At 45.7% G+C, this 26,761-nt stretch overlaps 1 long non-coding RNA gene across 2 annotated transcripts, besides 7 other annotated features; it reads right to left on the bottom strand.

Moving 5' to 3' along the window:
* Positions 1-4,633: 4,633 nt before the first annotated feature.
* LOC101927902 (uncharacterized) lies at positions 4,634-26,024 on the bottom strand. 2 transcript variants are annotated; one of them, NR_187678.1, is made up of 2 exons: positions 25,223-26,024; positions 4,634-4,984 (listed from the first exon to the last, which is right to left on the bottom strand). It is a non-coding gene; the product is annotated as an uncharacterized LOC101927902 (long non-coding RNA). The 2 variants fall into 2 exon arrangements; NR_187679.1 differs by having other exon boundaries at positions 25,298-26,024.
* Positions 5,545-5,614: an enhancer, noted in NCBI's record as "active region_26451". NCBI's record gives its function as "activates an Ori minimal core promoter by ATAC-STARR-seq in GM12878 lymphoblastoid cells {active_cell/tissue: GM12878}" and the evidence as "EXISTENCE:reporter gene assay evidence [ECO:0000049][PMID:35858748]".
* Positions 21,310-21,379: an enhancer, noted in NCBI's record as "active region_26450". NCBI's record gives its function as "activates an Ori minimal core promoter by ATAC-STARR-seq in GM12878 lymphoblastoid cells {active_cell/tissue: GM12878}" and the evidence as "EXISTENCE:reporter gene assay evidence [ECO:0000049][PMID:35858748]".
* Positions 21,612-21,906: an enhancer, noted in NCBI's record as "tiled region #8680; HepG2 Activating DNase unmatched - State 1:Tss, and K562 Activating DNase unmatched - State 1:Tss". NCBI's record gives its function as "activates a minimal TATA promoter and a strong SV40 promoter by Sharpr-MPRA in HepG2 and K562 cells {active_cell/tissue: HepG2 | K562}" and the evidence as "EXISTENCE:reporter gene assay evidence [ECO:0000049][PMID:27701403]".
* Positions 21,612-22,009: a biological region, named in NCBI's record as "Sharpr-MPRA regulatory region 8680".
* Positions 21,700-22,009: an enhancer, noted in NCBI's record as "active region_26449". NCBI's record gives its function as "activates an Ori minimal core promoter by ATAC-STARR-seq in GM12878 lymphoblastoid cells {active_cell/tissue: GM12878}" and the evidence as "EXISTENCE:reporter gene assay evidence [ECO:0000049][PMID:35858748]".
* Positions 22,320-22,369: an enhancer, noted in NCBI's record as "active region_26448". NCBI's record gives its function as "activates an Ori minimal core promoter by ATAC-STARR-seq in GM12878 lymphoblastoid cells {active_cell/tissue: GM12878}" and the evidence as "EXISTENCE:reporter gene assay evidence [ECO:0000049][PMID:35858748]".
* Positions 23,010-23,069: an enhancer, noted in NCBI's record as "active region_26447". NCBI's record gives its function as "activates an Ori minimal core promoter by ATAC-STARR-seq in GM12878 lymphoblastoid cells {active_cell/tissue: GM12878}" and the evidence as "EXISTENCE:reporter gene assay evidence [ECO:0000049][PMID:35858748]".
* Positions 26,025-26,761: the final 737 nt, after the last annotated feature.

Below are 26,761 nucleotides of genomic sequence, written 5' to 3'. Positions count from 1 at the left end.
TTGAACCTAGACTAGATCTTTCTGATGCCAGGTAAATACTCTTAATCACTGGCCAAGGGTTCTCAAGGTTCCTTTGCCCCTTCATCTATCCCACACATGGTATGTTTGTCGAAGGGACTGTGCAGATCTCAGCTATACTGCCTCCCTACAGGCCTTGGGTCTGGGCCTAGCCTTTGGACACCATTCATCAGAAAACTGGTCATCTCTGGCCGGGTGCGGTGGTTCACGCCTATAATCCCAGCACTTTCAGGGGCTGGCTGAGGTGGGCAGATCACCGGAGGTCAGGAGTTCAAGACCAGCCTGGCCAAAATGGTGAAACCCTATCTCTACTAAAAATAAAAAATAATTAGCTGGGCATGGTGGCAGGCGCTTGTACTCCCAGCTACTCGGGAGGCTGAGGCAGAAGAATCACTTGAACCCAGAAGGCAGAGGTTGCAGTGAGCTGAGATCGCACCATTACACTCCAGCCTGGGTGACGTGAGACTCCGTCTCAAAAAAAAAAAAGAAAAAAAAAAACTGGTCATCTCTGCCTCTCCTATTTATGCTTCTACTACTTCAGCTGGCTTCACTGTCAGTAGAAATGGCCGACAATGATCAAAGTTAATCTCAGTGCAGACATCTGTCAGCTCGCTGAGATGTGTACAGGTTTCCCCAAGATCTAGGGAGCCCCAAGTCACAGGGTTCTGGCTCAAGCCTTTTATTTTACTATTGAGACCTAAAGCTCAGAGAAGTGAAGTGACTTGTCCTGTATCACACAGCTAGTTAATGGCAGAGCCAAGATTGAGGTTTCATGGCTTCCAAGCCACCTTGAGTAGACTGGAACCATGGAAGGCCACATTTCACAGCAGGGCTTTTGAAGACAAGCTAGGTTACTTAACCTTTGACTTTTGCCTCTGTGTTTTAATCTGTGACATGGAGCAGCAAAGGAGGCCTAACTAAAAGGATGACACATGTTGCTGATGAGGGGTAAATTGTTGGAGGAATTGCTACTACCACCCATCTTTGGTAAGGACCAGGACTTTCTGAGTTCATTTACCAGTCTAGAAGCCAGGAAGATGTTCATAGATATATTCACATAATTGTGATCTAATTGACACCACAAGACAAAAGCAATTTCATGATAAAAATAGCAACTTTAGTTGTTTTTTCTTTTCTTTTTTTTTTTTTTTTTTTGAAAAAGAGTCTTGCTCTGTCACCCAGGCTGGAGTGCAGTGGTGCGACCTCAGCTCACTGCAACCTCCACCTCCTAGGTTCAAGCAATTCTCCTGTCTCAGCCTCCCAAGTAGCTGGGATTACAGGCATGCAACACCATGCCTGGCTAATTTTTTTGTGTGTTTTTAGTAGAGATAGGGTTTCACCATGTTGGCCAGGCTGGTCTTGAACTCCTGACTTAAGGTGATCCACCCACCTCGGCCTCCCAAAGTGCTGGGATTACAGGCATGAGCCACCGTGCCCAGCCAAGAATAGCAACTTTAATTGAGCATTTGTTATACACCAGAGACTGCTTTAAGTAAGCATCTATTTGAGCCACACTACAACCCTAGGAAGAATGTATGTGCTTTTTTTTTTTTTTTTTTTTTGAGATGGAGTCTCACTCTGTCGCCCAGGCTGGAGTGCAGTGGCGGGATCTCGGCTCACTGCAAGCAGGTTCAAGCAATTCTCATGCCTCAGCCTCCTGAATAGCTGGGACTACAGGTGTGCACCACTGCACCCAGCTAATTTTTGCTTTTTTTTAGAGACGAGGTTTCACCATGTTGGCCAGGCTGGTTTTGAACTCCTGAGCTCATGATCTGCCCTTCTCGGCCTCCCAAAGCACTGGGATTACAGGCATGAGCCACCATGCCTGGCCTGGAAGAATGTGCTTTATTTCCATTTTACAGGTAAGGAAACTGAGCCCTAGAGAGGTTAAGTAACTTGCCCAAGATTACACAGCTACTAAGAGGCAGAACAAGGTTCTGGAGGAAGCTGTTTACCTCCAGGGTCTACAAATCCTAACTTCTACATGAGTCTGGCTTACATGGCAAATGGGGAATGGAAGTTTTCGAAGATGCCCAGAAAGACACAGAGATCTGAAACTTTGTCTAGGAAGAAGAGTGAGGACCAGTTATCACAGGCATCCATATTCCTAGGTTCACAGCTTATCTACCCACTGACAGGGGGCCATGTATGAACTCGATGGCCTACAGTAAGCTTTTCAGGGCTTGTCATTTTGCTCTAGGAAACTGCTATCCAGCCCCATGTGGTTCCTGGATCACTCCGAAGTGCTTTAGAGTCACTTTAATCCTTGAGTTTAAAGTTTAAAGCAGATAACGTATACAGAAACATAGAAAAGGAACCAAAGAAAACTAACAAAATAAAGTTTGGTAATTTTCAAATCTTGCTACATAATTCCTTGCTTGGGAAGAAATGCTCAAAAATCAACAAAAGGAGGACAAAAACAGGATGTTAAAAAGCATTTTTATGTTTTAAGAAATTTACTGCCAGACTAAGAGTATTTCTGCCAAAACTAACATGCTTCTTTCCTACAACCTACACAATCTGGGGTTTGCTGAGAATTTGGTTGGATTTTGAGGGTGAGACCATAATTTCCCACCATGTTCATTTTCAAAAAGAATGTCCCACACATGAAAACACACACACGCACACACACACACACAAACACACACACACACACACAAATGCTCCAGTGGAAGTAGTGGTCCTGCAGTTCCTACTATGAGTAAAGTATCCCACAAAGATTTGGCCCAGAGATTGGCATCTGACATGGAGTCTCTTTTAGTGCACTCATTGCAAATCTCCATCTGAAGGTCTGTAAGGAACATGGCTGTGCTGCAGCCAAGCAGGCATAGAGCAGCAGGCATAGGTCAAGGTAAACAGCCTAAATGACTCAGCAGTATTGGGGCGCAAGTGCAGTCTCGTGTCTTATACAATCATAGCCATGTAGACATAACATAGAGAAGCTCACCACCTGGCTCTCAGCCACTATTGTCTGTGTAGTGTATAAATGTAACACTGACCCTGTAAAGGGGCTGCTGAATAAAGCCATGTCTCACTTACATGCTGTCTCTCAGGTGTTCTTCCAGCTCCCTGCCCTGTGTCCACCCACTCCCCTCAGCCCTCAGCTGGGGCCAGAACCTGACCCCAAGCATGACAAGGTTTTTGTCCTGTGGGCTGGGGATGCAAAAGGACACAAGATCATGAACATGTGGGAAGGACCTGGGACTGGGAGCTAAACAAACTGGACTCAAATTCTGGATTCACCAATTCCTAGCAGTGTGATCTCTCTGAGCATCTGTTTCCTCATCTGTGAAATGAGAAGCAAAATACCATCCTTCAGGATTGTCAATGAGGCATTGTATGTATATCACTCAGCACAGCCTGAAAGTAGTAGCTTAAGCCCCTCTACTTGGGAGAACACTGGATTAGGTCCACGTGACTGACAGCTAGGAACACAGAGTGAGAAAAATCAAGACTGAGGGGTGAGCCAAGGGATAACAGAAGAGACCGAAGCATCATGAGGAAAGAGAAGAGGAGACAGAGGAAAGCAGGGAGGAAGGACTTGCTCCTTTTTGTCCTCTAAGATAGATTTGGCAAAGACAAAAGACTCAAGAGGAAAATGAGACATTATTTTGCACCATCCAGGGGCAAGATTTTGCAAGTACTCAAGCTTCTCTCTTCCAGATATTAAAGGCATAGCAAAGGGGTTATATTATTACTACTGAATGCTAGAATACTATTTTTAAAACATTGATTTTGATTTTTTTCTTCTAGATTTTTTTTCTTCTATTCCATCTCCCCATTTGAACAGACAAACCATTCTTTGCTCCTATCTAAGAGATGGGTCTTACAAGCAGAAAGCAAAGTTTTTCAGTTTCAAAAGCCTGGGCCGGTGGTTCTCAAAGTATGGTCTCCAGACCACATCAGCATCACCTGGATACTCGTTAGAAAGGGAAATTCTTGGGCCCTACCCCAGACCTACTGAATCAGCACCTCTGGGGGTTGGGCTCCACGTTCTGTGTTTTAACAGGCCCTCCAGGTGACTCAGATGTAGGCTGCAGATTGAAAACCACTGGTCTAGATCCTTAGTGAACTGGAGAGAACAAACTGGTAAAAGATTTAGGAGAAAACATCAGGAATAACAGCAAAGCTCCTTACCTAAGTTAGAAAAATATTCTCTAGGCTGAGGGAGGAGGGGAGATAGAAGGGAAGTGATAAGACAGAGAGGTGGTGGGGACAGGAGGAGAGGGCTAGAAGTGAGTGCCAGCCTACATTTTAGTAAGCCCCTTTGCCTATGCCAGACCATTGGGTTAGTTGCCTTCTGGTAGGTGTCTAGTGAGGACTTATGCCTGACAGCAAGCAACAACCAGGACATTGTTTATTGGCTAACAGTCAGAGCAAAATGTTGGGTTTGTGTCCTCCCTATTCCATATGGACAGTCCTTCCTTACAACATCCTGGAATGCTCATTAACTCTTGAGAAGGAAGGTGAGGCCCTGGACCCCTAGTGACCTGATGGTTAGGGAAGGGAGAATAAGCCCTGCACTTGATTTTGGTGGGGATGAACAGAACCAACACAAGATTACCCCTGAGCCAGGGCAAGATAACACTCACCCCAATTATAATGACTACTTGTGTTGGAAATTGGCACTCAGCATTTATTCCAGTCTCCTCCTGGGTTGCCTTTCTGTAACAGTTGAAAGCTTAGAGAGGCTAGAAAGTTTAACTCTGCATTTCCCAGACTCCCTTCAAGTTGTGGATGTGCAGCTCACCATTGCGTTGCAGAAGGCAGAAGGAAGGCAGAGGCTCTTGGCCATCTTTTCTTGGCTTGCTTGGTCAAGCTTCATGTTGGTGGCAGCAGTGGTGGCTCTTCATTCCAACTTCCACATTTCTGGAGCGCAGCAACTTCGGCGTGTTCATGAGCTCAACAGCTCCAGTGACAGCCTCCTGACCCCTCAGCCTGCTAATCTGGGCTGAGGTTGTAGCTTCTGGAGGGAGGGAAATGAGGGTCAGTTCTGTGGCATTCAGGTAGACATTCCAGAAGGCCCCAGCCTACATGCTTATTCCTTCAGTACTTTCAACTATTTCATGAGCACCAACTTCCCTGTATTAATTCCTTCTTTGCTAAAAAACCCAGTCTGGAGCCGGGCGCGGTGGCTGACGCCTGTAATCCCTGCAATTTGGTAGGCTGAGGTGGGTGGATCACCTGAAGTTAGGAGTTCGAGACTAGACTGGCCAATATGGCAAAACCCCGTCTCTACTAAATATACAAAAAAAAATTAGCTGGGTGTGGTAGCGGGCGCCTGTAATCCCAGCTACTCAGGAGGCTGAGGCAGAAGAATGGCTTGAACCCAGGAGGCAGAAGTTACAGTGAGCCAAGATCGCGCCATTCCACTACAGCCTGGGTGACAGAGCAAGACTCCGTCTCAAAAAAAATAAATGAATAAAATAAAATGGTTCCTATTTCTTCCACTAAGGATATACTATTCAAAAAAAAAATCTGTCTTGAAATTTAACTGGAGTGACAGGATGGTTGCACAGAAATGCTTATGATTTCAGAAAATTGGGCCATATGCCAAGGAGCAATAGCAGTACATGCAGTCCATGTGTCAGAGGCTCAGAGGTGAGAGCGCTCACCACCCTGGCCTGGGTTAGGTTTTGGGGCAAGGCAGAACTTGAAGGAAATGTCTTCAAAGAGCAAGCAATGTGCTTTCTGGCTAGTTTTCCTGTTTCAGTTGACTTTGGCCTTGCCTTGCTCCCTGCTTCCTCTTTTCTGCCTCCATACCATCTCTTGTGCAACTCTGCTTACAGGGAACTCCCATCCCTGTCTCTTAAGAACCAAGCAAACCCCTTTTTCTTTTCCTCTTTTATCAGCCTGTCTCTTATTTCAGAATACACATTTCTGTATGCTTCAAAGTAGTTTACAGTTTTCAGTAAGCATGACCATGTTGGCGTTACTTATTTCAGAATGTGAGCCCCTGTTGACTGCCAAGCATTATCCCATGACCATGAGGACTCTCAACAATTGCTACATTATTTGTTAGGGGAGCTTCAAGGTCCAGCTTCCACTGTCTGAAGGAGCTTCAAGAAGCTGAATATGGCAATGTCTGCTGTCCCTACCCAAAAAGTATTTGATTAGCTCTGTCCACAAAGAGCAGAAATTTGAGATGACCCCTTCTGGGCCTGGAGAGCCAGCCTGAGACTAAACCTCCCTAGAAGAAGCTTTCTTTTTTTTTGAGACAGAGTCTTGTTCTGTCACCCAGGCTGGAGTGCAGTGGCATGATCTAGGCTCACTGCAAGCTCTGCTTCCCAGGTTCACACCATTCTCCTGCCTCAGCCTCCCAAGTAGCTGGGACTGCCGGCGCCCGCCACCATGCCCTGCTAATTTTTGTATTTTTAGTAGAGATGGGGTTTTGGCATGTTGGCCAGGTTGGTCTTGAACTCCTGACCTCAGGTGATCCGCCTGCCTCGGCCTCCGAAAGTGTTGGGATTACAGGCGTGAGCCACCGCGCCTGGCCGGAAGAAGCATTTTTAAATTTTCATTATTTTATTTATTTATTTTTGGTTTTTTTGAGATGGAGTCTCGCTCTGTCGCCCAGGCTGGAGTACAGTGGCACCATCTTGGCTCACTGCAAGCTCTGCCTCCCGGGTTCACGCCATTCTCCTGCCTCGGCCTCCCGAGTAGCTGGGACTACCGGCACCTGCCACCACACTCAGCTAATTTTTTTGTATTTTTAGTAGAGACGGGGTTTCACCATCTTAGCCAGGATGGTCTCAATCTCCTGACCTCATGATCCGCCTGCCTCGGCCTCCCAAAGTGCTGGAATTACAGGCGTGAGCCACCGTGCCCAGCCTGGAAGACGCATTTTTTACATCAAATCTCAGACAGGGCAGGAGGGAATTGCTCTGGATTATTATTATTATTATTATTATACTTTAAGTTCTGGGATACATGTGCAGAACGTGCAGGTTTGTTACATAGGTATACATGTGCCATGGTGGTTTGCTGCACCCATCAACCCGTCATCTAGGTTTTAAGCCCCGCATGCATTAGGTATTTCTCCTAATGCTATCCCTCCCCCTGCCCCCTACCCCCCAACAGGCCCTGGTGTATGATGTTCTCCTCCCTGTGTCCATGTGTTCTCATTGTTCAACTCCCACCCATGAGTGATAATATGCAGTATTAGGTTTTCTGTTCCTGTGTTAGTTTGCTGAGAATGATGTTTCTAGCTTCATCCATGTCCCTGCAAAGGACATGAACTCATTCTTTTTTATGGCTGCATAGTATTCCATGGTGTATATGTGCCAGATTTTCTGTATATGTGCCACATGTTCTTTACCCAATCTATCATTGATGGGGATTTGGGTTGGTTCCAAGTCTTTACTATTGTAAATAGTGCTGCAATAAACATACGTGTGCATTTGTCTTCTTTTTTTTGAGATGGAGTCTCGCCCTGTCACCCAGGCTGGAATGCAGTGGTGTGATCTCAGCTCACTGCAACCTCCGCCTCTCAGGTTCAAGCGATTCTCCTGCCCCAGCCTCCTAAGTAACTGGGATTACAGGCTCATGCCACTATGCCCAGCTAATTTTTGTATTTTTAGTAGAGATGAGGTTTCACTATGTTGAAACCTCATAGTTTCAGGCTGGTCTCAAACTCTTGACCTCGTGATCTGCCAGCCTCGGCCTCCCAAAGTGCTGGGATTACAGGCGTGAGCCACCGCACCCAGCCACATGTGTCTTTATAGTAGAATGATTTATAATCCTTTGGGTATATACCCAGTAATGGGATTGCTGGGTCAAATGGTATTTCTGGTTCTAGATCCTTGAGGAATCGCCACACGGTCTTTCACAATGGTTGAACTAATTTACACTCCCAACAGTGTAAAAGTGTTCCTATTTCTCCACATCCTCTCCAGCATCTGTTGTTTCCTGACTTTTTAATGATTGCCATTCTAACTGGCCTGAGATGGTATCTCATTATGGTTTTGATTTGCATTTCTCTAATGACCAGTGATGATGAGCTTTTTTTCATATGTGCTCTGGAATTTCAGCAAACCCACATTTCTCCAAAGATACACCGGCCATGAGCATACTTAGAAGTGGGAGTTCCCAGTACCCCTTATCTAGTTGAAGGCGTTGTGAGCGTTTCTCACAGGACTCTTTAATTGGCTGTCTTTACTAAGTCACTGCACTAAAGCCTCAGCTCCTACCCAGAAAGCTCCTGTCCCTGGATTACTGTCTCCTTTTGGTGAGGTCAGAGCTGCACTTACAATCTGTTCCAATGGCTAATCCTGGAGAAAGAAATACTGCTTATATTAGCAGGGCTCCCAGAGAAACAGAACCAAAAGGATGTGTGTGTATATACATATAAAAATATTTGTCTTAAGGAATTGGCTGATGTGATTGTGAAGGCTTGGCAAGTTTGAAATCTTACCAGGGAAGCCTCAGGAAAGCATTGCAGCTCAAGTTCAAAGGCAGTCTGCCAGTGAACCCTGAAGAACTGATGTTGCAGACAAAGTCCAAAGGCAGCCTGCTGCAGAAGTCCCTCTTCGGGTGTGGGTTGGGGAGTGGGTGGGTGTCAGCCTTTTGTTCTATTCAGGCCTTCAATCAATTGGATGGGGCCAGAATAATGTTTGACCAAGTATCTGGGCATTGTGGCCCAGCCAAATTGACAGATAAAATTTTATTTATTTTATTTTATTTTTGCCAAAGTTGTACTCTGTCGCCCAGGCTGGAGTGCAGTGTGGCATGATCTCGGCTCACTGCAACCCCCGCCTCCTGAGTTCAAGCGATTCTCCTGCCTCAGCCCCCTGAGTAGCTGGGACTACAGGCATGTGCCGCTATGCCCGGCTAATTTTTGTGTTTTTAGTAGAGACGGGATTTCATCATGTTGGCCAGGCTGTTCTCGAACTCCCGACCTCAAGTGATCCCCCCACCTCGGCCTCCCAAAGTACTGGGATTACAGGTGTAAGCCACTGTGCCCGGCCAATTTTATTGTATTGTATTGTATTTTTATTTTATTTTTTGAGATGGAGTCTCACTTTGTTGCCCAGGCTGGAGTGCAGTGGCACGATCTTGGCTCACTGCAACTTCTACCTCCCAGGCTCAAGCAATTCTTGTGCCTCAGCCTCCCTCAAGTTGACAGATAAAATTAATCATCACAGGGCCCTTGTTACTAAGTGACAGCGGGGAAATGTCTCATGTTCTGGTGCTCTTCAGCCTCACCCTGCCTCTGCCACAGTCACTTCAGTACAGGTTCCCCCTGAGTCTCTCTTCTCCCAACTCTAGGAACCTGATATGGCTTCCCTTGGGGGTCATGTATGAAATAGTAGGATGGAAAAGGGGCGCTGGGCTAGAAGTTAGCTAGAGAAATGCTGGCCTCAAAATCTGCTCTTCTTACTAATTTCCAGCCTGTATCTCTGGGCCAAGCCAGCCAGAGAACTCTTTTTTCCTTCAGGGTTACTTCCACAACAACTTTCCACCCCCAGCTCACGGAAGACATTTTCCCAGGCTTCACCAACATCTTATTCCTGGAGCCTAAGTTCAGCTAACTGCTGTCCTTCCAGCTGGTCAGCCCCAGCAGCCTCTAGCACATGTCCAAAGCCTCCTGAATCCACATATGTGGTTGAGTCGAGCCACAGTGACATTAGTCATATTTTTTGTTGATTGAAAACAAGGGTAAGCTGTAACCAAGGCCTCACTGTGGTTTTCGACTTAACTGTTGCTCACTAACTATAACAAGAAGGCTTTAAAAAGGACCAAAATAGAAACTGTGTATATAGTAAGAGTAGAAGGCTGGGATACCAGAGTCTTTCTCTTCAATAATACAAGGTGGTTTGTCTCCTTCCATGGAAAGAAGCCATGTACACATCCTCTTCAGTGTCGCCTGAGTAATTCCTGACTTTTTTCTTTTAAATAACAGCTTTATTGAGATACAATTCATGTTCCATACAATTCATCCATTTAAAATGCACAATTCAATGGTTTTTACCATTTGGTTTCACAAAATTGTGCAACCATCAGCACAAACAACTTCAGAACATTTTAATCACCCCCAAAAGAAACCTCATCCCCAAAAGCTGTCGTTCCTATTTCTGCCCAAACACCCCAGGCCCTAGCCAACCACTAATCTGCTTTCTGTCTCTGTGGATTTACCTATTCTGGATATTTTATATAAGTGGAATCATACAACACATGATTCTGGGTGGCCATAGTGGCTCACACCTGTAATCTCAACACTTTGAGATACCAAGGTGGGAGGATCACTTGAGGTCAGAAGTTCAAGACCAGCCTGAGCAACATAGCAAGACCGCCCCCAAAATACATAGTCCTGACTGATTTTTATAAAGGTGAAATAAGTTTAGATTTTGTCATGATAGCAAGATAACCAAACCAAGCAAGCATTCACTTCCCAAGGATAGCTGGTCACATTGCTCATCTTAATGGAATAAGCAGAAAAGCAGCTAAGCAGTGACAAAGAAATACTGGTTGCGTGTAAATTTGACTTACAATCAAAGGAGGTCCTAAGAGGAGTTTGGTGGCCAAGGCATTTGGAATCACACAGAGAGGCTGTTGAACAGTTCAGTCTGGCAACCCAGTCTGGCAAATTTTCTGGAGTCCAGTTTTATCTTTTAAGGTACGTTTCTTAGGGAATTCTCTTACGCCTTGCAATTTTCTTCCAAAGGGAGATATGGTAAGTATGAAATAGACATTTTTATTTATTTCCATATCTTGATTGAGTAAGAGAAGGGTGTAGAGTGTGTAAAATCAAACATGCACTTTAGGGGAATCACAACATCAGAGCCTGAACCAAGGGCAAAGAGTCCAAATCTTGCTAACCTACAATATTGTGCACTTGGTAAATTATAAGCAAGAAAGGGCCAAAAATTAAACTAAGTGCCTTGAAATGGCAAGACAAGCTAGCTATTTAAAACAAAAAGCTAATCAGCCAGCTTTCAAATTGCCTTTCTTTGGATGCTAGGTTATGGTTTTGCTTTCTCAAAGTTTGAGAATTATAAAATGTTAAAAGAAATGTAACAGGGCCAGGCACGGTGGCTCATGCCTGTAATCCCTGCATTTTGGGAGGCTGAGGTGGAGAGATCACTTGAGTCCTGGAGTGACAGGGAAACATGGTGAAAACCCATTTCTACCCAAAATACAAAAATGCCAAAAGAAAAAAAAAAATTAGCTGGGCATGGTGGTGTTCACCTGTAATCCCAGCTACTCAGGAGAATGAGGTGGGAGAATCACCTGAGCCCAGGAAATCAAGGCTGCAGTGAGCCATGATCACACCACTGCACTCCAGCCAGGGCAACAGAGCAACACCCTGTCTCAAAAAAAAAAAAAAAAAAAAAAAAAAAAGGTAACATAAGAACTGAAGGATCCTTTGGTTAGTATATGAAGACCTGCATGTCTGACAAAGCTCACTACAGGCCAGCCCATTGGAAAAAGGTACTGCCCAGATAAGCAAACTTGAACTTCAGGGGAAAGAATGATGACAGAGTTTATGTAACAGCAATGACTGAAGTGAGAGGAAAGGGAGGAGAAGGGTGAAGAATGTCCCTGAGAGTGGCTTGTTCCAAGCCACTGCTTGGAAGTTATATCCTCTCTCAATAAAGTACTCCAATTATAGTCCCGTGAGAAAATGCCATATTACTTTCTGGGATAGCCCCACGCTTGGTCAAAGAGGAATGAAGAAAACAAATCGTTCAGTTTATCTAGTCAATTAAACTAGTAGGACTTGGTGCAGTGGTACACGCCTGTAATCCTAGTGCATTGGGAGGCTGAGGCAGGAGGATTACTTGAGCCCAGGAGTTCCAGGATACAGTAAACTATGATCGTCCACTGCAGTGCCTGGGTGACAGGTGAGACCGTGTCTCTAAAAAATAAAAATAAAAATAAAAATAAAAATTGGCTTGATGTGGTGGCTCATGCCTGTAATCCCAGCATTTTGGGAGGCCAAGGTGGGTGCATCACTTGAGGTCAAGAGTTCAAGACCAGCCTGGCCAACATGGTGAAACCCCATCTCTACTAAAAATACAAAAATTAGCGGGGTTCGGTGGTGTGTGCCTGTAATCTCAGCTACTTGGGAGGCTGAGGCACGAGAATCACTTGAACCCAGGAGGCAGAGGTTGCAATGAGCCGAGATCGCACCACTGCACTCTAGCCTGGGTGACAGAGTGAGACTCCATCTCAAAAGAAAAAATAAATAAATAAAATAACAACAAATAAGTAGATGAATATAGATTCTAATTTTTCTAACTAGAAGAAAAAATTAGATCATGGTAATCATTGTACATACCACCTTATACTGTTTCATAATCTCTCACTTGTGATAGCCTTATCTCCTCATCTGCATTTTAATTTTTTTTTTTTTTTTTTTGAGACAGAGTCTCACTCTGTCACCCAGGCTGGAGTACAGTGGCAGGATCTCACCTCACTGCAACCTCCCCCTCCTGGGTTCAAGTGATTCTCCTGCCTCAGCCTCCCGAATGGCTAGGATTACAGGCACTTGCCACCATGTCTGGCTAATTTTTGTATTTTTTTGTAGAGATGGGGTTTCACCATGTTGGCCAGGCTGGTCTTGAACTCCTGACCTCAAGTGATCCACCTGCCTTGGCCCCCAAAGTGCTGGGATTGCAGGTGTGATAGCCACTGTGCCTGACCCGCATCTGCATTTTAATCTGGAAGATAGAATTGTACATTTTCCTTTCCTGCTATTCCCCATGGCACCTAGAATACAGGGTCAGAGGGCACTCAGCCACTGCTGGCTGATGGGTTGAAGCAAGGAAGCTACACAGAGCAGAGAATAGGCAGGCAGAGAACAGACAAGGGGCAAAAAGAACATTTTCAATAAATTTCAAAACCAACTTGCAGCTTATCAATAATTGATTTTAGCACCTTGAAATCCATTCTAAGGCCCAGAAGCATTTTAGAAATCAATACCATGAAACGTGTTACACATTTTCATGAATTAAAGCAATGTCACAGTTTTATAGGGAATTTATATTCTAAGAAACCATTTGTGTAATTCTTTGAAAATCTAGAAATTTTCTTTTTCTTAGGTGGACGCAAAGGTGTTAAATGAGGTTGAATATATTGACCAGAAAAGAAAATATTATAGTCCTTTGTTGAAGAAGAGTTTTCTCATACTGGAAAGAAAAAAAATAAAAGAAAGAAACTTCAAAAACTTCATGCTGCTTTCTGAAGTACTCCAGCCAAAGAAAATAATTCAGGTATCAAGTTGGACTAGCTCAGATGACTACAAAATGGTGAGTACATTCAGATATGGGAGATTATGATAAATAAAGGGATTAGTATCTGCCCAAAAGAGAATGTGGATGCTGGGGCCCAGAGTGAGGAGGCTTTGAACCACAAAAGCAAAAGAAATGCAAGATAAACCCAAAATCAAAATTAGCAAGTGGAAATTGGAGGATCTTGTGAAATGTTTCATTATTTGAAGTCCCTCCCCTCCCTGCTGCAATGTACTGGCCAGCAATTCCTCAGTCAATGACTCTCATCTTGAGATGCTCAAGAGAATAACAAGGGACTGGGTGCAGTGGCATGTGCCTGTAGTCCCAGCTACTTGGGAGGAGGTGGGAGGATGGCTCCAGCCCAGGAGTTAGAGGCTGCAGTGAATTGAATAGCCGCCGCACTCCAGTCTGGGCAACATAGCAGGAGTGTTATGTTGAAATAAAAATTTTTTAAAAAAAGTGCCTGGGCTTGGTGGCTCACACCTGTAATCCCAGCACTTTGGGAGGCTACTGCAGACAGAATTCAAGGCCAACCAGGGCAACATAGAGAGACCTCGTCTCTACAAAAAAATACAAAAATTAGCCAGGCGTGGTAGTCCCAGCTACTAGGGTGGCCGAGGTTGGAGGATCACCTGAGCCCGAGAGGTCGAGGCTGGAGTGAGCCATGATTGTGCCACTGCACTCCAACCTGGGTGATGGGGTGAGATCCTGCCAAAAAAAAAAAAAAAAAAAAAAAAAAAAAAAGAGAGGGAATGACCAGGGAACTATTTAAAAAGTCAGCTGTCAGATGTCAGGGCTCAGCTCAGACCTACTGAATCTGGGACACATTTTCTAGTACTGATATTTTTTAAAAAGCACATGAGGTGGGGTGGGCACCGTGGCGCATGCCTGTAATCCCAGCACTTTGGGAGGCCGAGGAGGGTGAATCACCTGAGGTCAGGAGTTCAAGACCATCCTGGCCAACATGGTGAAACCCCGTGTCTACTAAAAACACAAAAATTAGCCAGGCATCATGCTAATTTACATTACAGTGGGCACCTGTAATCCCAGCTACTTGGGAGGCTGAGGCAGAAGAATCGCTTGAACCCGGGAGGCAGAGGTTGCAGTGAGCTGAGATTATGCCACTGCACTCCAGTCTGGGTGACAAGAATGAGACTCTGTCTCAGAAAAAAAAAAAAAGCAAGTGATTCTGATGAAGTTGGGGGTCTCTGGATCATTGCTCTCAGTATTGCTAAAGGACACCATTGCTATGGACTGAATCATGTCCCCCTAAAATCCATATGTTGAAGCCCTAACCCCAATGTGACTGTATTTGGAAATGGAGCCTTGGGAGATAATTAGGTTTTAATGAGGTCATGGTGGGGGAGCTGTGGTGTTGGAATTAGTCCCCTTACAAGAGGAAGAGAGACCAGTGCTCTCTCTCCACCAAATGAGAATATAGCAAGAAGGTGGCATCTGCAAGCCAGAAAGAGATTCCTCACCCAGAACCAAATCACTGGGCTCTTTGATCTTGGACTTCCCAGCCTCCAGAACTGTAAGAAAAAAATGTCTGTTGTTTAAGCCACCCAGTCTATGGTATTTTGTTATGGAAGCCCAAATGGATAAATACAATCAGCCATTAGGTAGATATATAAAGTCAACCCCCCTCTATAATGCCAGGAAAGCAGCAGCCATCACAACACAGAGTTTTTCAAGTAGGTTAAGGTCATATTCTGTACACAAGTTCAAACTATATCATGCTAGCCTCTGGGAGGCTCAGGTGTAGATATTGACGACAGTGTCTAAGTCATTGTTGGGTAGGAATGGATTCTGCAAAAATAAACTCTTCGTTGAAACTTTGTCCTAAGCACACTCCCTATTTCTTTTTGTGGCACTTAACATCTTTTTCTCCTTATGATTCATCTGTGTACATGCTTTCTTCACTACTGACCATGGGCTTCAAGGAGGCAGTACCATGACTGATACATTTCTGTACCCTGGGAATTTAACACTAAGCAGTCTTTTTTTCTTCTTCTTCTTTTGAGACGGAGTCTTTCTCTGTTGCCAGGCTGGAGTGCTGTGGCGCAATCTTGGCTCACTCCACCTCCGACTCCCTGGTTCAAGTGATTCTCCTGCCTCAGCCTCCCAAGTAGCTCGGATTACAGGCACGTGCCACCACACCCAGATATTTTTGTATTTTTAGTAGAGACGGGGTTTCACTTTGTTGGCCAGGATGGTCTCAAACTCCTGACCTCGTGATCCGCCTGCCTTGGCCTCCCAAAGTGCTGGGATTACAGGCGTGAGCCACCGTGCCTGGCCTACACTAAGTAAGCACTCTTAAAGAGACAGGGACTCTTAAAAAAACAAAACAAAACAAAAAAAATAACCACAATAACATTCTCAAACCTAAAATAATAAACCATAAATATGAACAGACATCCAGTCAGTATTCAAATTTTCCCAACTGTCTCATGAATAATATTTTTGTTTTTGTTTTCTGAATCAGGATCCAAATAAAGCCCACACGTTGAATTTGCATTTGTATGGTATGTCTCTCATCTCTTTAACCTAAAAATTCACTTTCTTTTTCCTTCTTGCAACCTTGTTGTTGTTATAAAAGCCAGATCATTTGTCCTCTAGAGATTTCCACATTTTAGATATTTTTTATTTTCTTCTGACTTTTCTGTGGTATCAGATTCCCTTAACATGTTCCCAAATAAGGTCCTTTTTTGGAAGGGAGCAAAAAAGCTTCTGCACTGCTTACCATTGTTGCATAACAAATTATCCAAAAACTCAGTAGCTTAAGCAACTTTTAAATTTTGCTCATAATTTTATGGGTCAGGAATTTGGGAAGGGAATCCGGGACACTCCATGGTGTCTGGGACCTTAGTTGGGGCTAAAACTCAAACTGTACACACACCAATGTCAATATTACAACTACACCATAGAATGCAGTTTTAGATTTCTTTGACGTTTGTTTCAGGCTGAACTGTGTCTCCTCCCTGCCCTTGCCCCCCTCCCCATATTAATACATTGAAGTATCTCAGAATGTGACTGTATTTGGAGATAGGATCTTCAAAGAGGTAATGAAGGTTAAATGAGCTCTCTATGGTGGGCTCTAATCCAATATGACTACTGTCTTTTTTTTTTTTTTTTTTTTGAGATAGAGTCTTGCTCTGTTGCTCATTGCAACCTCCACCTCCTAGGTTCAAGCGATTCTCCTGCCTCAGCCTCCTGAGTATCTGGGACTACAGATATGAGCCACCACGCCCGGCTAATTTTTGTATTTTTAGTAGAGACGGGGTTTCACGCCATGTTGGGCAGGATGGTCTCAATCTCTTGAACTTGTGATCTGCCTGCCTCAGCCTCCCAAAGTGCTGGGATTCCAGGTGTGAGCTGACTAGTGTCTTTATAAGAAGAGATGAGGACACATACGTGCACAGAGAGAAGACCACGTAAAGACACAGAGAGAAGGCAGTCATCTACATACCGAGAAGATGGGTATCAGAAGAAACCAACTCTGCCACACCTTGACCTTGGACATCAAACCTCGGGAACTGTGCAGAAGCCAGTTTCTGTTGTTTAAGCCACCAAGTGTGTGGTGCTTCTTATGGCAGCCCCAGCAAACTAATATACTGTTTCCATTCATCTTTAGGCTATATTACAGTACAGATCGCTTACTGTATTTTAAAGTCACTTAAAATAATTCATCTCTGTAAAATTAAATCACTAATTCAATACACAGTTAAAATTATTTGTTTCAATTGCATTCAGTTTTTAGGAATTTCTTTTTTGCCCCCATCTTTATTAAATTTTATTTTTATTTTTATTTTTTGAGACAGGGTCTCACTCTGTTGCCCAGACTGGAGTGCAATAGAGCCACCTCTGCAACCTCTGCCCCCTGGCCTCATTTCAGCTTCCCAAGTAGCTGGGAGTACAGGCGCCTGCCACTACACCAAGTTAAACTTTTTATTTTTTATAGAGATGGGGTTTCACCATGTTGCCCAGGCTGGTCTCGAGCTCCTGGGCTCAAGCGATTCACCCGTCTTGGCCTCCCAAAGTATTGAGATTATAGGTGTGAGCCACTGTGCCTGGTCCATCTTTATTAAATTTTGTTTTATAATTATGTAAAACATATCCAGGTGGGTGCAGTGGCTCATGCCTGTAATCCCAGCACTTTGGGAGGCCAAGTCGGGCGGATCATGAGGTCAGGAGATTAAGACCATCCTTGCTAACACAGTGAAGCCCCGTCTCTACTAAAAATACAAAAAATTAGCCGGGTGTCGTGGCGGGTGCCTGTAGTCCCAGCTACTCGGGAGGCTGAGGCAGGAGAATTGCTTGGACCCAGGAGGCGGAGGTTGCAGTGAGCCAAGATTGCACCACTGCACTCCAGCCTGGGCGACAGAGCAAGACTCTCAAAAAACAAACAAACAAACAAACAAACAAACATATCCATGGTTCCAATGTCAAACCTACAAAATGAGGCACATTCAGGGAAGTCAAGCCTAGCTTCCATTTTTCTCCCTTCTACTCTCTTCCCCTATCTCCTAGATAACTATTTTTACTGGTGTTTGGCTTATGCTTCCACTTCTTAAATATATATTTATTTACATTTTGAGACAGAGTCTCACTGTGTCACCCACCATAATCTCGGCTCACTGCAACCTCCGCCTCCCAGGTATGAGAGATTCTCGTGCCTCAGCCTCCCAAGTAGCTGGGATTACAGGTGCCCACCACCAAGCATGGCTAATTTTTGTATTTTTAGTAGAGATGGGGTCTTGCCATGTTGGCCAGGCTGGTCTTGAGCTCCTGACCTCAGGTGATCCACCCATCTCAGCCTCCCAAAGTGCTGGGATTACAGGTGTGCGCCACCATGCCTGGCCTCCAGTTTTTTAAAAAAGGCACATACATATATGTAGTTGTATTTCTCCTTCTTAGATAGCATACTCTATGCACCATTCTGCACTTTGTTTTTTTCACTTAATATAGGTTATACTAATACACAGAACTACTTCTCATTCCTTTTTACAGCTGCACAATATTACTTGTGTCGACGTCCCCTATAGGTGGACATTTGCATTTTTTCTAGTCTTTTGCTATTACATAAAGTGTGCATATAGCATCCTTGCATGTCTGAGACTTTAGGATGAAATCTGATTAATCTGCCAGGGTCTACATCTATCCCTGTCTCAAAGTGGGCTATTTCTATAACTTACCCTGATCGTTAAGGTATTACATTTTTCATTTTTTCTTATCTCACTTTGCATGAGAAATAGAGTATAAATAACTCAAGCTCCCATATTCAAAATAACAGGCATCGAGGGGCTTTTGAAGGGAAAAAAAAAAGCAGCAATCAACATTTCTGTGGGTTCCTTATTCAGCAACCTGTGGTCCACCTCCAACCCTCCACCAAGAAGACCAGTCAACGATTATACAAATGCCTCTAGTTCCGTATTCCATAGATTTGCCCTACCTAGATCTACAAAAAAAGTGAGACCACATCCCCTTAGGCAGCATCTTACCATTGCTGTGTGTTGAGGCACCTGCTCCATTCACTTACATATTCAACAAATATTTTATAAATGTGTACTATGTACCACATGTTGTGCCAGGTGCTGAAGACAAAGCAGTGGGTGAGATAAATCCAGCATCTATCCTCCTGCAGTTCAGACAGTGGCTCTTAGCTTCTGTGATTGGCTGAAGCCATTTTTGTTCAACACATGAAAGAGCACTTAAATATTCTTTCCCAAAGACCTCACAGCTTCAAAAATACCAAAATACCACCATCTTCCCAAGGTGAACACTAGACTGTGAGTTTCTCCTCATTTTATGGAAAGTGATGGGAAAACACCCAGATGATTTTGCAGTACTCCTGGTGCTTCATTCTCAGGGGCAAAATTGGGCATAAAACCTAGGTATCTAGATCGTGTCTGCAAAGGAAGCAATTGCTCTAATTCTGATAATCGGCCTTTCCTTTACATGCCTCTGAGACAGGGTCTTGCTCTGTCGCCCAGGCTGGAGTGCAGTGCCACAATCTCGGTTCACTGCAACCTCTGCCTCCTGGGTTTAAGCGATTCTCAGGCCTCAGCCTCCAGAGTAGCTGGGATTACAGGTACACACCACCACACCCAGCTAATTTTTGTATTTTTGGTAGAGATGGGGTTTCATCATGTTTGCCAGCCTGGCCTCAAACTCCTGGCCTCAAGCAATCTGCTCGCCTCGGTCTCCCAAACTGCTGGGATTACAGGCGTGAGCCACCGTGCCCAGCCTACATGCCTCTTCTAAATCAATCATGTTTCATGATTGCAAATTTTGCATTTATTTTGTGCTGGACTCCCAAGTTCTTTTATAATAAACAATAGTCACCATTTATTAAATATTCACTAGGTTCCAGGCATCCAGGCTAAGCCCTTTACACTAAATCATGTAGTCTTCCCAATTATAAGTACCATCATGGTAGCCATTGTATAGAGGAGAACACTGAGGCTTAGAGAGGGTCAATAAAATTCCCGAGGTCACACATCTAATAAGAGCAGACATGATTAGAGAAGTCACATCAATAGAGGTACAGAAGTCTCTGGTATGATGAATAAGCTATAGCTCAAGTATTAATAGTAATCATTAACTTCTTTTTTCTTTTTTTTTTTTTTTTGAGATGGAGTCTCTGTTGCCCAGGCTGGAGTGCAGTGGCACAATCTTGGCTCACTGCAACCTCCACCCCCCAGGTTCAAGTGATTCTCCTGCCTCAGCCTCCAGAGAAGCTGGGATTACAGTGGCCACCACCATGCCCAGCTAATTTTTGTATTTTTAATAGAGATGGGTTTTTGCCATGTTGGTCAGGCTGGTCTCAAACTTCTGACCTCAGGTGATCCTCCCACCTCGGCCTCCCAAAGTGCTGGCATTACAGGCATGCATGAGCCACTGCGCTCGGCCTGTAATCACTAACTTCTATTGAGCATTTACTATTGTGCCAGGTACTAAGTGCTTTACGTATATTTATTAGAAGGGAAAAAGATTCTTCCTCATCCCTTACATTTCCTTCCATGTGGAAGAAGCTTCTCTGGCATGAGATTTCTGACCTGTCTCCCTGCTCTTTGACTCATTCCTGCCCAGGAGGGTGGTGGTGGTGGTGAAGAGGGTGGTACAGGAAGAGGAGCAACTTCTCAATGGAGACGCTGGGGAGGAACTGGAGATGCATAGCTCAGCCCATCTCTGTCCTCTTGGCAGCCATCCTCCTCCAGAGCATGCTTTGGGCTCTGCTCTCCCAGGCTCCACTGTTTACAGGGACAGTTTCCAACTGGGGGGCATGCCCCAGCCTGCGTGGGTACCCTGCCTAATTCTGGCATTCACTTACCCACAAATGTAAACCATGGACTCCTATATAAAATGTATCAGTGATAAAGTTGATGTTTTGATCCCATTTGCTTTTTTTTTTTTTTTTTTTTTGAGATGAAGTCTCGTTCTGTCACCCAGGCTGGAATGCAGTGGGGTGATCTCGGCTCACTGCAACCTCCACTTCCTGGGTTCAAGTGATTCTACTGCCTCAGCCTTCCGAGTAGCTGGGATTACAGGTGTGTACTACCACACCCAGATAATTTTTGTATTTTCAGTAGAGACAGGGTTTCTCCATGTTGGCCAGGCTGGTCTTGAATTCCTGACCTCAAGTGATCTGCTTGCCTTGGCCTCCTAAAGTGCTGGGATTACAGGAGAGAGCCACTGCTCCTGGCCAATCCCATTTGTTTTTATTTCTCCTTGCCCAGCTCTTAATTACTCAGAACTTGGGAAGGGAAGAGAGGTTTCCTCTATTATAGTCTCTCAAATCTCCAAACTATTAACTCATTTAATCCTAACAAAAATTCCATTAGAGGACAGGGAGCAATGGCTCATGCCTGTAATCCTAGCACTTGAGAGGTGCAGTTGGGAGGATCTCTTGAGGCCAGGAGTTCAAGACCATCCTGGGCAACATAGTGAGACCCTGTCTCTACCAAAAATTAAAAGAAAAAAAGAATTCCATTAGAAAAGTACTCTTATTATCCTCTCAGATGAGGAAACTGAGCATTTGGCCTTTTGGTTGAAATACAAATATTTGCTCTCAGTCCAGGATCAGATGAAATTAAAGCATATAAGAGTGTTTGCAAACTGTTAAAGCTATGTATACAGAAGGCAATGAGGGTGGTGGTTCTGGCTTTCACACCCACTGGCAGTAGGACTCTGAGCAAGTACTTTCCGGACTTTAGTTCCTTTATCAGGAAAGTGAGGGGTGGGAGAGGCTGATCTGTGCAGATCCTTCCTGTTCTAACGCCTGTGACCACGAATCAGTGATGACTAGCCATTGACTGTTTTCTCCTGGCTTCCTCTGCGTCATTGAGGACTTTTGGATGCTGACTTTTCCCGATTGAGCTAGGCCCAGTCCCTGGGGAACACAGGCCACCTGAAACTCCCCCTCGTTGAATGGGCTGGGCTCAGTCATCTGAGGTTTGCTGCTCGGTTGCCTTTGGTTGCTGCAGCAACATAACACACGCCCACACTTCCGTTTCTGAGAGTGCGATGAAGGCTGATCTCCTCCTGTCGGCCACAGGGGCTCTCCCAGGCCCTGCCGCTCACAGTACTTCCTGGCTTCCTCACAAGGCCACCCGAGGGGAGGGGAAAGAAACCCACTAGTCATTCCTCGGGGGTTGTGGGAGTTGAAGTGAATACTTCCCCGGAAAAAAAAAAAAAAGGCACATCTCCATCAGGTCAGCACTGAGGGGCTAAAATCTCAAGAGATTCAGACTCAGTATTAAGAGACTGATTTGGCTGGGCGCAGTGGCTCATGCCTGTAATCCCAACACTTTGGGACGCCGAGGCGGGCGGATCGCCTGAGGTCAGGAGTTTGAGACCAGCCTGGGCAACATGGTGAAACTCCGTCTCTACTAAAAATACAAAAAATTAGCTGGGTGTAGTGGCAGGCACCTGTGATCCCAGCTACTCGGGAGGCTGAGGCAGGAGAACTCCTTGAACCCGGGAGGTGGAGGTTGCCGTGAGCCAAGATAGTGCCACTGCACTCCAGCCTGGGCGACAGAGTGAGACTCTGTCTCAAAAAAAATAAAATAAAATAAAGACTGATTTAGAACAGTGTTTGTGAACAGGATTTCTGCTTGCTGACGCCGTTGGAAGAGCCTGTGTTTTTGAAATGATTGACGTCATGAAATCTAGTTTGGTCACCAGGATATGGGGTTGACAAAGACCTTGTGGCAGGCCTTTACTATAAGTTTCATCTAATTCTGAAATTCAGTGCTTTCACACCGGAAGTGAGCAAAATAACAAAGAACAGAAAGTGGAAAAAACATTCTGACCTAGTGGAAACTATCTTTTGCCCACCTGCATTCCTGCAAAATAGCAGTCAAATTAGCCCAGATATCTACCTTTGAGGGGGTCCCCAGATGGTGTATCTCCCAAAGGGATTTTGTCGATGAATTTAACGCCCCAGTTATTCAGAAGAGAGTTCTAAAGGCATTATTAGAGGAACCTGAGGTTGTTTCTCTCTGCCTCCATAACAAAATAGCTCACTCTTTTGCACACCTGAATAAAGAAACTACACTGGGATCAGGAAATAAGGGCAGAGCCAGGGCAAATTCCGAACCAATGCAAGAAAACCTTTAAATGCAATTGCCCGGATAGTTCTCCCATTGAGAGGAACAGGATGTGTGCTGGCTTTAGCCAAGAGGAATGGGCTAGATAAGATGAGCATAGATTTTGAACATGCAAAAGGGTGAGGTGACCAGAGGGAAAAGGCGAGCAGCCAGGATAAGAAGACTCCTCTGTCCTTCTGACCCTTGCCCTCACAGGACCTGCTCCTACCAGCAACCAGCAGACACTTCCTCACTTAGGTGGGGGACTGAGGCTGTGGCCCTTGATGGCATTGTTCCCAGAATGGAAAATGTGGGTGTTGGCAACCATATCAAAGGCCTCTGATTGTTTAGAAACCTTTACAGCTCTGATCACCAGACCGCAAAGCCCAAGGGCCGTTCAAGGCCTGTGGAAACTTTGGAACAATAGACTTGGCCCCCTGCCTATCTGTTTTCGTGGCTTTCTGAAAGAGGTAGACGGGGCCTCCAGCCACTCTACGCTCCAGCCCAACCATCAACCTATCAATCTTCTTCAAGCCGGTTCTCACAAGCCAGCACTGGTTAGAGATCGGAGCTGAGATGAGTGCACTCTGCTCTTCAGAGACTGAGACTAGATTGAGAAGAAGGAGGTACCGGATCAGCGTACAAAGTCCAATGGGTGCCAAAAGACTCAGCAACCATGATAAACAATATTTTAATGCAACCACTAAAAAATAAAAATAAAAAATTATCCACGATGAACAAAATATCAAAAATTTTAAAAGAACTGCACTAAAATATTTATCTTGTTTACTGAGTTTTTTGGCGGCCCCTTAAATTTTGCACCCATGGGCCCGGCATTGTGGCTCACACCTGTAATCCCAACACTTTGGGAGGCTGAGGTGGGTGGATCACCTGAGGTCAGGAGTTCAAGACCAGCCTGGCCAACACAGTGAAACCCGTCTCTGCTAAAAATACAAAAATCAGCTGGCTGTGGTGGCACACACCTGTAATCCCAGCTAGTCGGGAGGCTGAGGCAGGAGAATCAGCTTGAACCTGAGAGGCAGAGGTTGCAGTGAGCCGAGATCGCTCCACTGCACTCCAGCCTGGGTGACAGAGCGAGACTCCATCTAAAAAAAAAAAATTGAATTTTGCACCCATGTTGAGTGCCTCCTATGCCTCACTCTAGTCCCTGCTCTGCTGTGAAATGGTGTGCTGTTGACAGGCACTCAGAAATATGAAACATGGAAATGCTCATTTTGATTATCAGGAGGTGAGGGTCCTCCAAGATGTGTGGAATGTGTTGCCCAGATAACCCAGGCCATGTTGCTTTTTTGTCTTTCTTTTTTAGAGACAGTGTATCACTCTGTTGCCCAGGCTGTAGTGCAGTGGGACAGTCATAGCTTGCTGCATTACTTCAAGCAATCCTGCTGCCTCAGCCTTCTAAGTAGCTGGGACTACAGACGCAAACCACCAGCTAATTTTCTAATTTTTTTTTTTTGATGGACTCTCACTCTGTCACTCAGGCTGGAGTGCAGTGGCACGGTCTCGGCTCGCTGCAACCTCCACCTCCTGGGTTCAAGTGATTCTCCTGCCTCAGCCTCCCAAGTAGCTGGGATTACAGGCATGCGCCACCACACCAGGCTAATTTTGTATTTTTAGTAGAGATGGGGTTTCTCCATGTTGGTCACGCTGGTCTGGAACTCCTGACCTCAGGTGACCTGCCCCCCTCGGCCTCTCAAAGTGGTGGGATTACAGGCATGAGCCACCGTGCCTGGCCTCTAATTTTTTATAGAGATGGGGTCTCACTATGTTCCCTGGGCTCGTCTCAAATTCTTGGCCTTAAGCGATCCTCCTACCTTGGCCTCCCAAAGGGTTGGGATTACAGGCATGAGCCACTGTGCCTGGACACATGTTTCTTAAGACCTAGGTGTTGAAGTTACAATTATGCCAGGGAATACAACTGGAAAGCTGCCTAGAAGAGCTGCAGTCCAGGCTACCCGAACCTTCCATAGGAGACTGGGGCAAGCGTCTGGGGGAGGCGGTTGCCTGCTTGGTATCATCTAAAAAGGATTGGAAAGGTTCCTTTCTCTAAGGGTCTCTTCTAGACATGCCATCAGTAGAGTTGTCAATCCTTTGGCTCTTGTAATTGTCTTGGTTTTAAAGAAACTTCCATTAAAATAATATAACTATCTCTGTGGTTATTATTGGCAGAGATCTTAGCAGAGTCTTACTTATTCATTCATTCAACAAGCATTGAGCACCACATACCAGGAATGCCCAGTCTAATGAGAGTGGCAAGGTGGAGGCCAGGGCAGGATGGCAGAGGGGCCACTCATTCGATTCTGATCTGCTTCCACCCGGGACTGCAACTGAGGAAGAGCAAGATTCAGAGCAGGTGCCTACCTGGGATCACAAGAGAGAGGTGCAGGAAGAGACAGGGAGAGCCCTCAAAACACTTCTCACTCCTTTCAGATGTACCTGGGCTATGCAGGGCTAGAGGAGGCAGCCAGCGATGGGCTTTGATTCATGGAAGTCTTGTTGCACAACTCTGGAGGCGGGGGCGCCATTCTCATAGAATACAATGTACCACTCAGGCATTGCACAGGATTGGGAAAGTTCTCTGGGAAGTGAAGCCTATCAGTAAGGTGGCAGGGGAGGGGAGTTTTCCCCTGAGGATATGCAGCTGTGCACCTGGCGGTTCTGTGGGTGGGATCCTGCTGTGTCCGGAATTGGTGGGTTCTTGGTTTCACTGACTTCAAGAATGAAGCCGTGGACCCTCGCCGTGAGTGTTATAGTTCTTAAAGGCGGCGTGTCCGGAGTTTCTTCCTTCTGGTGGGGTTCGTGGTCTCGCCGGCTCAGGAGTGAAGCTGCAGATCTTCGCGGTGAGTGTTACAGCTCCTAAGGCGGCGCATCTGGAATTGTTCGTTCCTCCTGGTGGGTTCGTGGTCTCGCTGGCTTTAGGAGTGAAGCTGCAGACTTTCGCGGTGAGTGTTACAGCTCTTAAGGCCGCGCGTCTGGAGTTGTTCGTTCCTCCCGGTGGGTTTGTGGTCTCTCTGGCTTTAGGAGTGAAGCTGCAGACCTTCGCCGTGAGTGTTACAGCTCACAAAGGCAATGTGGACCCAAAGAGCGAGCAGCAGCAAGATTTATTGCAAAGAGCAAAAGAACAAAGCTCCCACAGCCCGGAAGGGGACCGGAGAGGATTGCCACTGCCAGCTGGGGCAGCCTGCTTTTATTCTATTATCTGGCCCCACCCACATCCTGCTGATTGGTCCATTTTACAGAGAGAGGAGTGGTCTGTTTTGACAGGGTGCTGAATGGTGCGTTTACAATCCCTGAGCTAGACACAAAGGTTCTCCACGTCCCCACCAGATTAGCTAGATACAGAGTGTTGATTGGTGCATTCACAAACCCTGAGCTAGACACAGGGTGCTGATTGGTGTGTTTACAAATCTTGAGCTAGTACAGAGTGCCGATTGGTGTATTTACAATCCCTTAGCTAGACAAAAAGTTTCTCCAAGTCCCCACCAGTCAGGAGCCCAGCTGGCTTCACGCAGTGGATTCTGCACGGGGGCTTCAGGTGGAGCTGCTTGCCAGTCCCACACCGTGCGCCCGCACTCCTCAGCCCTTGGGTGGTCTATGGGACTGGGCACCGTGGAGCAGGTGGCGGCACTCGTCGGGGAGGCTTGGGCCCCCCAGGAGCCCACGGAGGGTGGGGGAGTCTCAGGCATGGTGGGCTGCGGGTCCCGAGCCCAGCCCCGTGGGGAGGCAGCTAAGGTCCAGCGAGAAATCGAGCGCAGCGATGGTGGGCGGCACTGCTGGGGGACCCAGCACACACGCTGCAGCCGCTGGCCCGGGTGCTAAGCCCCTCATTGCCCAGGCCGGCAGGACGGGCCGGCCGCTACGAGTGCGGCCCGCTGAGCCCACACCCACCCGGAACTCGTG

The sequence above is a fragment of the Homo sapiens genome, chromosome 7 (assembly GCF_000001405.40).
Source record: "Homo sapiens chromosome 7, GRCh38.p14 Primary Assembly".
Lineage (NCBI taxonomy): Eukaryota > Metazoa > Chordata > Mammalia > Primates > Hominidae > Homo > Homo sapiens.
Note: the sequence above shows the minus strand (reverse complement) of the source record. Positions and strands in the feature narration are given on the sequence as shown.